Source organism: Homo sapiens, chromosome 6, assembly GCF_000001405.40.
Source record: "Homo sapiens chromosome 6, GRCh38.p14 Primary Assembly".
NCBI lineage: Eukaryota > Metazoa > Chordata > Mammalia > Primates > Hominidae > Homo > Homo sapiens.
In genome coordinates this window covers 122393852-122406947 of record NC_000006.12, presented here as the reverse complement: position 1 = coordinate 122406947, position 13096 = coordinate 122393852, and the positions used below count along the sequence as shown (strand labels likewise).

The window sequence follows — 13096 nt, the reverse complement described above, 5'->3', positions numbered from 1 at the left end:
ATTTCCACTTGGACATTTTGGAGTGTGGAAGTCAGTCAAGCTGTTCAAAAATACTCCTGTTTTTTTTTCTAGCACTGCACTTCCTCATCCCTTTTGAAATTAGGTGTGGCCATATGACTAGGCATGGTCAAATTTAAGAAAAATTAAACAATTTTCAAGTTGTTTCAAATACTACTAGAGATCCATTTTTAATCTCAAAGTTAATATGCCAAAAAGAATCTCTAACATCTTTCCTCAGCAAATGGATTTATCCTGTAGTTCAAACCAAATTTATGAATCATTTTTAATTGTCGTTCCTCCAACCATAGCCAATTTATCAATTTATCAGCAAATCCTGCAGCTTTGCCTTCAAAGATTTCAAAGCTACATCTCAATACCTTGACTGCTGCTACCTTAGTCTCAGCCATCAATATTTTCAATACCATACAGGAAAACTGTGATAGTCTTCTAACTGGTCCCCTCATTTCCAATCTTCTTACTATAGATCTAGGGCCCTATACCATCTGCTCCTGCCTACCTCCCTACTCTCACTCTCCTAATTCCCTAAAGATATTCTAATCACATGGGCCTTCCTGCTTCCTTGAACAGCCACATTCAAGGCCTTACCTTTTGTCATTCCCCTTTGGCCCATCTTTTCTAATCATTTAGATCTCTCCTCAAACATCGTCTCCTTGGAGAGGCTTTCCTCATCACCTTACCTAAAATATTCACAAATCCTAGTCTGTTTATGGGCCAGTTATCAATTTATTGCTCCAAATTCATTCTTCATTGTCTGCTCTACAAGCATAGAGCTTGGTTCCTTAAATAAATATCTTTCTTTTTCTAGGTGCCATGATGTTAAGTTCTGTCAGCAGGGGATAAAAGAGAGATATTACAAGAAAAAGGAGCTCTTGTTCCTGACTCATGTATCCTTGGCAAGCTTCTGCAGTGGAGGCAGCTTCTCCAGTGCCTAGCTCTTGATATTAATGGTGGTCAGCAACACTCAAAGACCATCAGCTTTCACTGGTGCTTCCTCTCCCTTGGGAGGTTTCAAAGCAGAGTATCTCTAACAAGATATCTCCCCATAAACAGTTTTTTAGAGTACTCCAGAACAGGGATTTATAAACTTTTTCTTAAAGGGACAAATAGTAAATTAGGCTTGCAGATTATAACATCATAACTCTACCTTTGTAGTGAGAAAGCAGATACAGACAATATGTAAATAGATTGGGCATAGCTGTGTTCTATTTAAACTTTTTTTTATAAAACAGCTGGCAAAAGGACTACAGTTTGCCAACCCGTGACCTAGAGGGCATATTTCCCACCAAGTTTTGAAGGATGCATTTCCAGTAAGTTCCACCAGAGCAACACCAGTGACTGCTCTGCTACTGAGTCATGGCCATATTCCTTCCAATAAGGTAAGAATCTTAGCCTTGGCAAAAAAGGTTCTTACTTGGGCACTCTATCTCAGCCCTATCAGTAGTGGCTGCTTCTTAAAACTATTCTTGTATTCTTTTAATTTTCTTTAATTTCCCTGATATAGTCAGTAACTCTATTAAACTTACCCTCTTGAAAATACCTGTGGCTTCTGACTTATGATTGCATCTTAACCGACACACAGTTTATCTTGGTGTTTTTTAAAGGCATTTATCACTAACTGAAATTATATTGATTGTGTTTTGCTTGCTTTTACTTTTTTTTTTTTTTTTTTTAAGAGACAGGGGTCTCAGTATGTTGCCCAAGCTAGCCTCAAACTCCTGGGCTCAAGCAATCCTCCCAACTCAGCCTCCCCAGTACCCAGAACTACGACATGCACCACCATACCCAGCTTGTATTTGCTTACTATTTATTGATATCCACCACTCAATGTAAGCTCCATAAAGGTAGGCACTTTGGTTCACTACTGAATGAATTCCTGATACCTAGCACAATATTAGGTCATAACAGATTCATAACAAATACCTGTGACTGACTAAATTAATCTTTGGCCAAATAAACTGAATTTTTAGAATTTCAACTATTTGATTATATAAAATAGGGAGATGACAATAATCTCTTGCTATACCTGTGCTCACTCTCTCTCACATACACTCCTTATTCATTCATATCACTCTATCTCTGCTTATTGTATTCCCTCAGTCTCTATTCTAAAATTAGTAAATAACTTCTTTGAGTGCAAAAATTCACCTTCCTGTCTTTTAAACCTGTGAGGTTCAAGCAATACAACACAGAATCTCCCTAAGTATTTTACAAGGATGAGAAAACTACTACTGAGTGAGGTGGGAAAGATAGGCACCTTCTCCTTAAACCTTACCCACAAATGTTGGCAAGAGTCCAAAGAGTAGAAACAGTCGTTACTCTCCAAATTAATTTTGGCACTCTTGTTAGAACACTCAAAATATTCCTAATAATCTAATACTTCAGCCACATTACTTTAAAACATTTTTCGGAACAGAAATTTGTGGCTTGCTAATCTATAATTTTTAATATGCACCAGCTACTCTTTTAGAGTCTTTAGCTCATTCTTTCTCTTATATATACAAATAAAAATACTTGAAAATCAATCTTTCAACTTTTCTGCAGGTCCATCTAAGTTGGATTTTACCCCCATCCTCCCACACTTGTAGTCTTTCTTATTTTCACTTTGAAATACTAATATAATGCAATGGTTGCTGGGATGTTCAAAACAATACTAGCACTTTGTGAAGTCCAAGGGCCTACTGCTCAAATTCATCCAAAACAGCTAGAAAACAATGGAAAAATTCTGTTTTTGCTCTCTCTCCCTCCTACCTATTTCCTAATTCATCTCTGCTGACATGAGGGGGATAGAGAAGCAGAGAATGCCAAAGGGCACAAAAAGGGGGGAAAGCTGGGTATGAAGTCTTTGGTGGAAATCACTTCATTTTCTCAAACAATCTGAAGAACAGAGACAAAGGTAACAACACTGACAAAAGGATGACCTTCCAGTTCTTTCCTTCTTTTATACTGCTTCACTTCAGCATACGTTGGTTGTAACATTTCATTAACTCGTAAAGGCTGTTTTTTACTATATAACTTCATTTAACCTCTACGGCCTTGTCTCTGAATATCAAGTTTCACCAGTTGCTTCCAAGCTAATATGTGCCCTCTCTTTAGGACACTTAAGATTTAAAACAGTTTTAGGTCGTCTGACAGTACAATCTCTGTACTTGATTCTGACAACAGACTACCAAAGCCAAGAACAGTTATATAAAATTTTACATTTAAAGGAAATGTTAAAAAAAATGAAAACTTTTCATTTTTGTTTTTCAGAAGAGTAAGGAGAAAATGGAAATATGTAAAACATACTTTCTTTTCTTTCTGTTTTTTGTTGTTGTTGTTTTGAGACAGGATTTCGTTCTGTTGTTCAGGCTGGCTTGCAGTAGTGTGATCTCAGCTCATTGCAACCTCTGCCTCATGGGCTCAAGCCATCTCCCCTCTTCAGCCTCCTGAGTAGCTGGGACTAAAGATGCACGCCACCATACCTGGCTACTTTCTGTATTTTTTTGTAGAGACAGGGTTTCACCATGTTGCCCAGGCTGGTCTCAAACTCCTGGGCTCAAGCAACCTGCCCATCTTGGCCTCCCAAAGTGCTGGGATTACAGGCATGAGCCACCACGCCTAGCCACATTATGCTTTCTTAAAGACTGTCTGGAATTAAGGCATTTCTATTATTTTAGAGTCAATAACATATTTAAGTATAATTTCAATTGTTCAGATTATTATATTCTTGTATTTAATGGTGAGAGGTATTATTTCCCTTTTCAATTTTGTCATATTGCAAATTTCGAGGAAAATTAAAGTTATGTACGTCTCCAGAGATATTATCTAGAGATATTACCAACTGCGTTTTCCAAAACGCAATTGGTAAGAGTTTTTTTTCCCTTGCCTTACACTCAAGGTAGAGAAATAAATTATTTTCCACCATTGAAAAAAAAAACTGCACAAAAGCTTGTCTGGTTCCCAAAACAACTGCTTCTTCTAAAAGTTCTCAATGATTTTCATAGTATAAATGCTAAATTACCTCAACAGAAATACAACACAAGTTTGAAGGAAACCAGAAACCACCATAAATAGCAACTTTCAAAAGATGAGAGTACCTGGGCGCCGGTGGCTCACACCTGTAATCTCAACACTTTGGGAGGCCGAGACGGGTGGATCACTTGAGGTCAGGAGTTTGAGACTGCCTGGCCAACATGGTGAAACACTGTCTCTACTAAAAATACAAAAATTAGCCAGGCATGGTGGTGCGCATCTGTAATCACAACTACTCGAGACGCTGAGGCAGAAGAATCGTTTGAGCCCAGGAGGCAGAGGCTGCAGTGAGCCGAGATCGTGCCACCGTACTCCAGGGTGACAGAGTGATACTCTACCACAAAAAAAAAAAACGAATATGATATAGTGTGATATAGTCTCTGCCACTTGGAAATTCAAAGCCTGTTGAGGACTATTATATCATCATTCCTACCACTCTCATTACATTTTCTAGGGTTTCATTTATTCATCAAAGAAAAGAGAAAGATGAAAGTAACTTATTTTGGTTTTTCCACCTAACATTATTGTTAAAGTTTTACTTTTCAGTATTAGCACTGCTTTTAGAAAAATCCATGGAGAGCACAAATGAGACAGCTGCCTAAGCAACTAGGCTTAGCCCTAGACAACATTTATTCAGAATTGTCCATTGACTTGTGGCAAGCAACATTTTGGTATAAAACTAAATATGATGTCAACTTGCATTAAGTCTAGTTCTATTGGTGGAAGACTGATCTGGGAGCTCAGAAATCTATTAGGGTAGGGGTGTCCAATCTTTTGGTTTTCCTGGGCCACACTGGAAGAAGAATTGTCTTGGGCCACACATAAAATACACTAACACTAATGATAGCTGATGAGCTTAAAAGCAAAATTGCAAAAATATCTCATGTTTCTTTAAGAAACTTTATGAATTTGTGCTGGGCCGCATTCAAACCCATCCTTGGCCACATGTGAGCCTCGGGTTGGACAAGCTTATGTTAGGGTCTTATCTCCAATCTTGGCGAGCTGTATAATTATGGATAAATAATCTCACCTGTCCAAGCCTCAAATCCTCATCTATACAATGATAAGGCTAACCTAGATGATCTCTAAGAGTCATTTCAAATATAATTTTATCTTCATCATTCCTACCACTCCATTACATTTTCGAGGGATCTCATTTATTCATCAAACAATTATTAAACACCTAGTGTGTCTCTGGCACAGTGATCTCACTGAGCTTACATTTTGATTGTCCCACTGGCATATTAGAAAATTGGTTAACACATAAGCTTAAAGTTAATAATGGGATTAAAAAATGGTTAAGTGGCTTGTTTATTTGGCTTAGAACTCATAGAATGATGCATTTACGGATCAGTACGAAACTCTCCACATTTGACAGTACTCAGAAAATAAGAATGTTATTAAAACACTGTTGCTAATCAGAATTTAATAGGCCTACCACTGACATGATACTCTGATTAAAAGCAACTGCCAATATATATAGCCCCTATTTCTGGCCCATAAAAGACAAAAAGGTATGATAAAGTCAGCTTTCGTGGGGAGAGAATCTCAGTCCAATCTCTAACACGAATACGTGTCTGAGTAACAGTCTGTACTGATCCTTCTTGTCAACTTTTAATCCTTCTAACTGATGAAAAGCATGAGACATGTGTTTATTTTAAGTACATGCTAGTGGCTGGCTTTCTTATTTTCACCTAGCTTTGTACAATTGTACAGAATTCATTAAATGCTTAATAGAAACACTCACGCCCCCCTACTCAACTCCAAGCAGGGAGTGGGGCTAAAAGGATAACTCAGTTGCTCATAAAGAACACACAAAAATTAAATCCTAGAAGGAAGTCGGAAAAAAGAACAAATAATAACACAAGGCAAACTATGGTATTACAGAAGTCAAAACTTCAGGGTCTTAATATGGTGCTCACTCCCTGTTAAGACAAAAGTAAATAAAACTAAGAGTTCCTATAATAGGAGAACAGGAAAGAAAGGAGGACGGGAGATAACATTTACTCAGCACTTAACAGGTGCCAGGCACTATGCAGGTAGTTTTCACTTATTCTTCTCAAGAACTACACATATGAAAATATGCCTCAATAGGTGATCATCTACAATAAGAGTTAACCACTTTCCTTCATAAAAATGATTCCAACAGCCTAGGAGTGTATTCTAATGCACATGCACTGTGGATGTAAATAATCATTCTGCCTAAAATCTTGTATTTGGGACTGATATAGGTCTTGGGTCACCTAGGCAACCCATCCATCTTATGAAAGATTTAACTTAGGCCAGACAAGATAAAGGGCTGGACTAAGGTCATGCTTGTTTAGAAGCAGAGTTGAGATCAAACCAATAATCAACACATCGATATGCCCCTCTGCTGGTAACTGTTCAGCGAAATTTAGTAACTACTAAGTTACCACCTATTAGTACTTTATTAAAACAATCCTAATAATCCCATTATACAAATAGCACAGAATCTCAAAAGAATAATTTGTTAATTTCTATATATTTTTAAAACCAACTGATAAGCAGTAACCTGCGTTTGAACGTATGTCTATTGCCCTGACTGCTCTCCACATAAAGATGCCAGATGCAAAGCAATGTTGGGGGAACTGGGGGTGATCGGTCGCTGAGGTAAAGATCGCCTCCTATAAAGCCCCACGTTGATGATCCTGGCCCTGGGCTCCCTGTCCCCTCCGCGATTTGTAACCCCTGAGCCGGGCGGGAGGACGGAGGATGAGTGTGCAGTAAAGAGGCTCCCGCGCCCTCGGCTCGCCGATTCCCCTCGCGACGCCGGGCCGGTTCCGAACGCGGACCGGACCGTTAAGGGGCTGCCTGGGCCGCTACGCCCCGCGCGGGCCGCCCCTCCCCCACCGCGGCCTGAGGAGAGCGGCGCTGCCGGCCGGGCCCCCGCGGCTCCCCGAGCGAACAATACAGGGGGTCCCCCGCGAGGCTGAACGCCAAGGCCCCGCACCGCGGGCCTCGCAGACAGCGTCGAGCCGCAAGGCCGCGAGAGACCACCCCGCAGGAGAGCGAGTGAGGAGGCGGTTATTCAGGGGGTTCAGAGGCCGCCGTGGCCTGACCGTACCTGGCTCCAGGTGATGAACTCGTTAGTGTGGGTTTCCTCCACAAGCGTCCACAGCTTGCTGAGGAAAGCCGGCACGTTCGAACTCTGCTTCATTGTTAACGCGGCGCAGGGATTCCAAATTCTACACCCGAACGCGGTGGTAGCGGCGGCGGCAGCTACGGCAGCAGCTCCCCGAGAACGCCCACAACGCAGGCGCAGCAGATCTTGGTCCCCGCCCCCCCAACCCCGCCAGGCGCGCGGCAAGGCCGAGAGGCCGGGCGGCCGCACGTGACGGACAAGTCTCCGCGCTCCGCCTGTGCGCGCAGTGGTTCCGCGCCTGTCCCGTCCCTGGCCAATCCCAGGAGCCGACTGCACGACAGAGAAAAGCGATTGGCTGCTGCTGACATGAAGGGGGTGGGAGCAGAAGGGGGTGGGAGCAGAAGGGGGCGCTGCCTCCTCATTTGCCTTTTATACAGAAGCCTTGATGGTAGCAGACTTAGGCTTGGGAGACCGTGTTTGGATGTTTCACGTGGAAACAGCTTATGGTTTCTGGGCTGTGGCTGGGAGGCTACAGAAACCCTTCAGGGCCTTTGAGTCATAAGTTTGGCAGGCAAAGTGTGGTTTGCACCAGTTTAGAGAAAGGATCCATTTGCATAAGGAAAAAACCAGCTCTCAAGCATGATGTGCTAGGCCCCAAATTGAAATTGTCTTAAAAATAATGAAACTTGTTCTTACATTTTCATTGGGAGAAAAAGCCCTCTTTAAAATATGTTTATCAAAAAGAGCAGTTTAAATAACTCACTCTCGATTACTTAAAACTGTAAACCAGGAACTGCAATTGATATATCATGTGCTGTTTTTAATCCAGTCATCAAGTGCCTACTCTGTACCCAGAATAAAAAGAAATAGACTCATTTGTACTATTTTAGTTAATTAAAATAGTTTTTCCTGCGTATACTTTACAGATATAGTCTTTTTTGCCTAAGAGATTGGTATAGTGGAAAAAACAATGGAAAAGGAGTCAGTAGATCTCAGTTTAGATAAAGCCTCTTGGACATTTTTCTGTATATTAAAATACACTGGTTCTGTCATTTAGAACAATTCCTTAGCCACCAGTGCCAGTTTTTTCCATTTCTTGACTGGGAATAAGATCTATCTTTTTACCCACTAAGAGTGTCTTTAATACTATAATGGCTGTGCAAATGCTTTGAAAATATGAAGTCTACAAAATTCGACTTTTTTTTTTTACAAAAGTCAGCATGTGAAGGCAAAAACTTACAAACAAGTCAGAGATAACATACAAAACTTCAACATAGGATTGGTTTACTTCTTGGGTGAATGTAAAATAGTACATTAAATATATATCTATCATTTAATGGAAGATATATGTATATCTCTTCCAATGAGCAAGTATTTAGTGAATGCTGCCTTTGTGCTCAGCACTGGGATGTTGGCTGAAGCAAAATCAGATATATGGAGGCATGCATGTGATAGAGGAAGTAATATTTGATGAGCCCTTATATATGCCAAGGGCTTTACATATATTATTGAATCCTCACAACAACCCAATGAACTAGGTTTTATTATCCCATTTTCCCAGAGAAGATTCTGAGACTCAAAAGTTGATTAATTTCTTCAGTCACAGCAAGTAAATGGGAGAGTATTTACACCCAAGCTTTATTGAGCTCAAAAGTATGTGCCCTTTCCATTGTACAATGATGACACTGTTTCAAAGCTCAAGATGCTTATATTCAAACTCAAGAAACAATATGACCACAGTGATCAGCACTCAATATATACAAAAAGAGCTAAATGTTTTGTATAAAATAAGTACTAGATAAGTTTAAAAAGACAGATTAGTAGGTTAAGGTGGTAAGGAAGGATTTCATGGCAGATAGGGACCTTAAGTTGGGTCTTGAGGTACAAATATATTTGAATAGCTAAAAGGAAGACAACAGAATGAGCAAAAACCAGGAAGCTAATGATCATGTCTGTCTATGGAGGGCAACAGCTCAGGAGGTAAGAATGGCAGTGTCTAAGGAGGAAATGTGGCCTACTTTCATGGCATTATATTATTTTCTTCTAAAAAAAGAAGGTGTGATTAGATAGAAGCAGAAACTTGTCTTTGGACATTCAAAGGCTGGGCATTCATAGGGCTGGGCTTAGTGGGGTGCCATACTTAGTTTAATGCTCTGTTCTCATCCTCTTGAAATTCTCAGTTTTTGAACAAGGGACTGTACATTTTCATTTTGCAATGGATCTTGCAAATTGTGTAGCTGATTCTGTTTCCAATGTATGGCATCTTATAGACCGTAAGTTTGAAACAAATGGTTCTCAAACTTAAGCATGCGTCTGAATCACTTGGAGAGGGAAGCCTTCCAGTAAGCAAATGAGCAATATCACTTATCAGGTAGTATTTGTAATACTTATAAGGGCAGTGACAAGGATAAGTTATTAACCAGATAAGAAAACCTTGGCACCAGAAAACTTAGATGATGTATCCAAAATCATCTAGTTAAGGTTGGAATTGAAACCAGGTCTTTCGTAGTCTGAAACATGCTTTTTAAATTTACACCAATGTGTCTCAAACTTTAGCGCAGAATCACCTGGACAGCTTCTTAAAGAACAAATTGCTGCTTTTGCTTCCATGGCTCTCAGTAAGTCTGGGGTACAGGTTAAGAATTTTTATTTTTAACAAGTCCCAGATGACGCAGATGCTACTGGCCCTGGGACCGCATTTTGAGAATTGCTGTTATAGAGGAAAAATTAGTAAACTGAGCTTCCCTTACTACTAAGATGTACAGATTTATTGTTATGCTTTACTTCTGTCTGTTTTTTTTTTTTTTTTTTTTTTGACAGAGACTTACTCTGTCATCCAGGCTGGCAGGCTGGAGTGCAGTGGTGTGATCTTGGCTCACTGCAAACTCTGCCTCCCGGGTTCAAGCAATTCTGCTTCAGCCTCCTGAGTAGCTGGGATTACAGGTCTGCACCACGAAACCTCACTAATTTTTGTATTCTTAGAAGAGATGGGGTTTCACGATGTTGGCCAGGCTGGTCTTGAACTCCTGAGCTCAAGTGATCTGCCACCTTGGCCTCCCAAAGTAATAAGATTACAGGTGTGAGCAACTGCACCTGGCCACCCTTCATCTCTTAATAAAATCCAGATGTTCCAGGAATAACTTAAACGACTATGTTTTGTTTTTCTATGAACTTATAATCGTTAATATTTATTATAATTAGTACATTTTCTGAAAAACTAAGTATTGAATGCAGACTTTTTTTGGGGAAAAGGAAATTATAACTTGGCTTGTTTGCACTTATTTATAAAACTGAGAGGGGAAGAAAACAAAATCAAGCTTTATCTCACAATTATTTGCCACCTATAATATCCCTAAAATATCAGAAGAAACAGATTTGCGCCAGTGTCGACAATTTTGACATGTTTATAACACAAGAAGATAAAAATGTCACTTTCTTAAAGGAGTTGCCTCCTGTTAACTCCAGTTTAAAAAGCTGGATTATTTTCATGGTTCATTTGCAGCCTAGAATGTAAGACTTAGATTTAGAATAACATTCAAAAATATGAATGATCCAGACCTTTGTCTAGGAAATAGAAAAGCATATTATGGAGCAATTTGATGCTTCAAATCATCAGACGATGCCATAAATTCTATCCAATCGATTTTGCAAAACTAATTGGAATCAACGGTGCAACCAGTATTAGCTTTTAAAGATTTTTTTTTCAAGGATAGGATGATTAAATCCAAAGGTGAACTGCATAGAGGTTTCCACCTATATTGCTATCTGGACAAAGTGTTGATTTTCTTCAATTTTGGAATGACTTAGGGGACCTTAGGCAAATCACCTAACATTTTCTAGTCCTCGTTCCTTATATATAAGATGTGAGTGAAAAATATCTGCTATGCTCACTTCACAGGGTGGTTTTGAAGATCAAAGAAATTGTCTCTTCCTCCAGTCCACTTTCACAATCTTTATGGATCTCTTTCTAAAACACAAATCTGAAAAGGTCACTTCCTGACTTAAAACTATTCAGTGACTTCCCATAATTTCCAGAATAAATTCAAACCCCTTAAGGGGCATAAAAGGCCTTCTCTGATCTGATGCCGCCTACCATTTCAGTTATTGTCTACCATTGTTTACAACGCCTTTCCCTTAGCCACACCTAATTGCTTGTAGTTACCTTACTGGTCATATTCTTTTATACCTCTATGTATTTCCATAGGCTGTTGTCTCTGCCTGCAGAGCCCTTCTTCACCATTTTCCCCTAAATTCTTCTTCAACCTTCCAGGTCAAGTACAATCCCGTACAAACATAAGTTCTTTTGTGAAATCTTCCTTGGTAACATTTATTATAGCACTTACTACATCATATTATAATTATTTATTTACATGTATTTTTCATTCTAGACTATGAAACTGCTTCAACATAAATACTATGTCATATGTACATTCACTTATTTACAATGACATTCACAATGCATGATATATGTTAAAATATCAATAAATATTTGTTGAATTAATAAATGAATACATGAACAGGTAAGTGCTAATCATCTGTTTATTCTTGCATGACCCCCAAATCTGGGTTAGTTGTTCCTCCCATGTGCTCCTATAGCTCTGGAACTTGACCTTCATAGTTTTTACCACACTATTGCTGCTCATTTACTTCTCAACAACCCTTACTAGACTAGCAGATTGTGCTTGCATTGTTCACTCTTGTATCCTGAGCACTCAACACAGTGCTAATAATAACGTAGGAACTGCTCAATAAATATTTGTTGAATTAATAATTTTAGCTTTTGAAATCCTTTGGATAAAATGTGCTCTACCTAATAATAAGGAAACCCCTTACAATTTATTCTCAGTCAGTAGAAACCTTTTTGTTTACAAGAGAAGAAAATGAAGAGAAGAGCTTAAGGATAGCTCAACTGAGAAGCATGCGAATGAGGAGCTGTTAGTAACTGAACAAATATTAGAATCCTGGAAATGCCAGATGTTAACAGAATGCTATAGAGGCCCAGGTTTGAGGTCACTTATATCTTCAAAACAAATGACAGTGGCAAAATGCTTAAGGACTCTTGAATAGGCTTTTGAGTAAGTGAAGAGCTAGAAGACTGTGAAAGTTAATTTTTAAAATTTTTCAAGAAGTTTTCTTCTTCTAAGGCTACAACCTGGGTGCAAAAGACACTAGCCAGAGGAGCTTTTTACATGGGAAATGTGTTAGTACTGCTTGTACCAGACTCGGGCTGGAACTGCTCTACATTAAAACTCCAATCTATGCCAGATTTGCTAGAATCCAATCAGTCATCCAACTAGGGTGACAAACTAGTTCAGGTTAGCACAATACATTTCCAGTTTTAATACTGAAAGTCCTATGTCCCAGGAAATCCCTCAGCCCCAGGCAAACCAGATTGTTTGATCACCCTAACTCAGCCTCTTCCAGTTATTTATGTTGGACAGGAAGCAGAGGCTCTTTAAGCAAAGCAAAATATTGTATAGCGACAATGTAGATACGGGATCTGGAAACTCTAATGCAGCTTTGGCCTTTCTGGAAGCAGTGCGGAGGCTCTCTTTCACAGGCACTCCAACAGCTAGCTGATAAATAGAAGGAATTGATGTACCCCTGCAACTCAAGGTCCCCGTGAAGGCTCAGACACACACAGAGAGATGTTGATAAGAAAGAAAATTCAAGGCTAAAAACCGTCAAGGACTGGAAACATTAGAAAAATGGAGTGGAATAGAGAAATGGCCTGCAATATAAGCCTTCCATTATTTCTACTAGAACAAAACCATGTTAGGGTTTAAGTTTCTACTTCACTGGGACTTGTCTTGTTCCAAGAGGAGGTGGTGTCCAAGATAGATGGAATGTGTTAGGAGTTTATCTTTCGGAAAATGTGGTTTAAGTCATCATTTTATTCAAATCATTTGATAACTAAGACCTTTGAGGTCCTCAAAGATGAAATGAGCTGAATTATAGGAA

At 39.4% G+C, this 13096-nt stretch overlaps 1 protein-coding gene across 3 annotated transcripts in view, besides 3 other annotated features; it reads right to left on the bottom strand.

The window, feature by feature from the left end:
* The window catches only part of HSF2 (heat shock transcription factor 2), a 33569-nt gene extending 26172 nt beyond the window's left edge, over window positions 1-7397 (bottom strand). For 2 of the 3 annotated variants that reach the window (NM_004506.4, NM_001243094.2), the window contains exon 1: window positions 7118-7296. In NM_004506.4, coding sequence (NP_004497.1) covers window positions 7118-7210 — 93 coding nt within the window. In that variant the 5' untranslated portion in view covers window positions 7211-7296. Of the gene's footprint in view, window positions 1-7117 lie in introns of all 3 variants that reach the window. The other variant, NM_001135564.1, reaches the window with a different exon arrangement.
* Window positions 6501-7000: an enhancer, noted in NCBI's record as "H3K27ac hESC enhancer chr6:122721093-122721592 (GRCh37/hg19 assembly coordinates)". NCBI's record gives its function as "activates a minimal SCP1, AML or CMV promoter by ChIP-STARR-seq in naive H9 embryonic stem cells {active_cell/tissue: H9 hESC(naive)}" and the evidence as "EXISTENCE:reporter gene assay evidence [ECO:0000049][PMID:30033119]".
* Window positions 6851-6970: a silencer, noted in NCBI's record as "silent region_17515". NCBI's record gives its function as "represses an Ori minimal core promoter by ATAC-STARR-seq in GM12878 lymphoblastoid cells {active_cell/tissue: GM12878}" and the evidence as "EXISTENCE:reporter gene assay evidence [ECO:0000049][PMID:35858748]".
* Window positions 7241-7560: a silencer, noted in NCBI's record as "silent region_17514". NCBI's record gives its function as "represses an Ori minimal core promoter by ATAC-STARR-seq in GM12878 lymphoblastoid cells {active_cell/tissue: GM12878}" and the evidence as "EXISTENCE:reporter gene assay evidence [ECO:0000049][PMID:35858748]".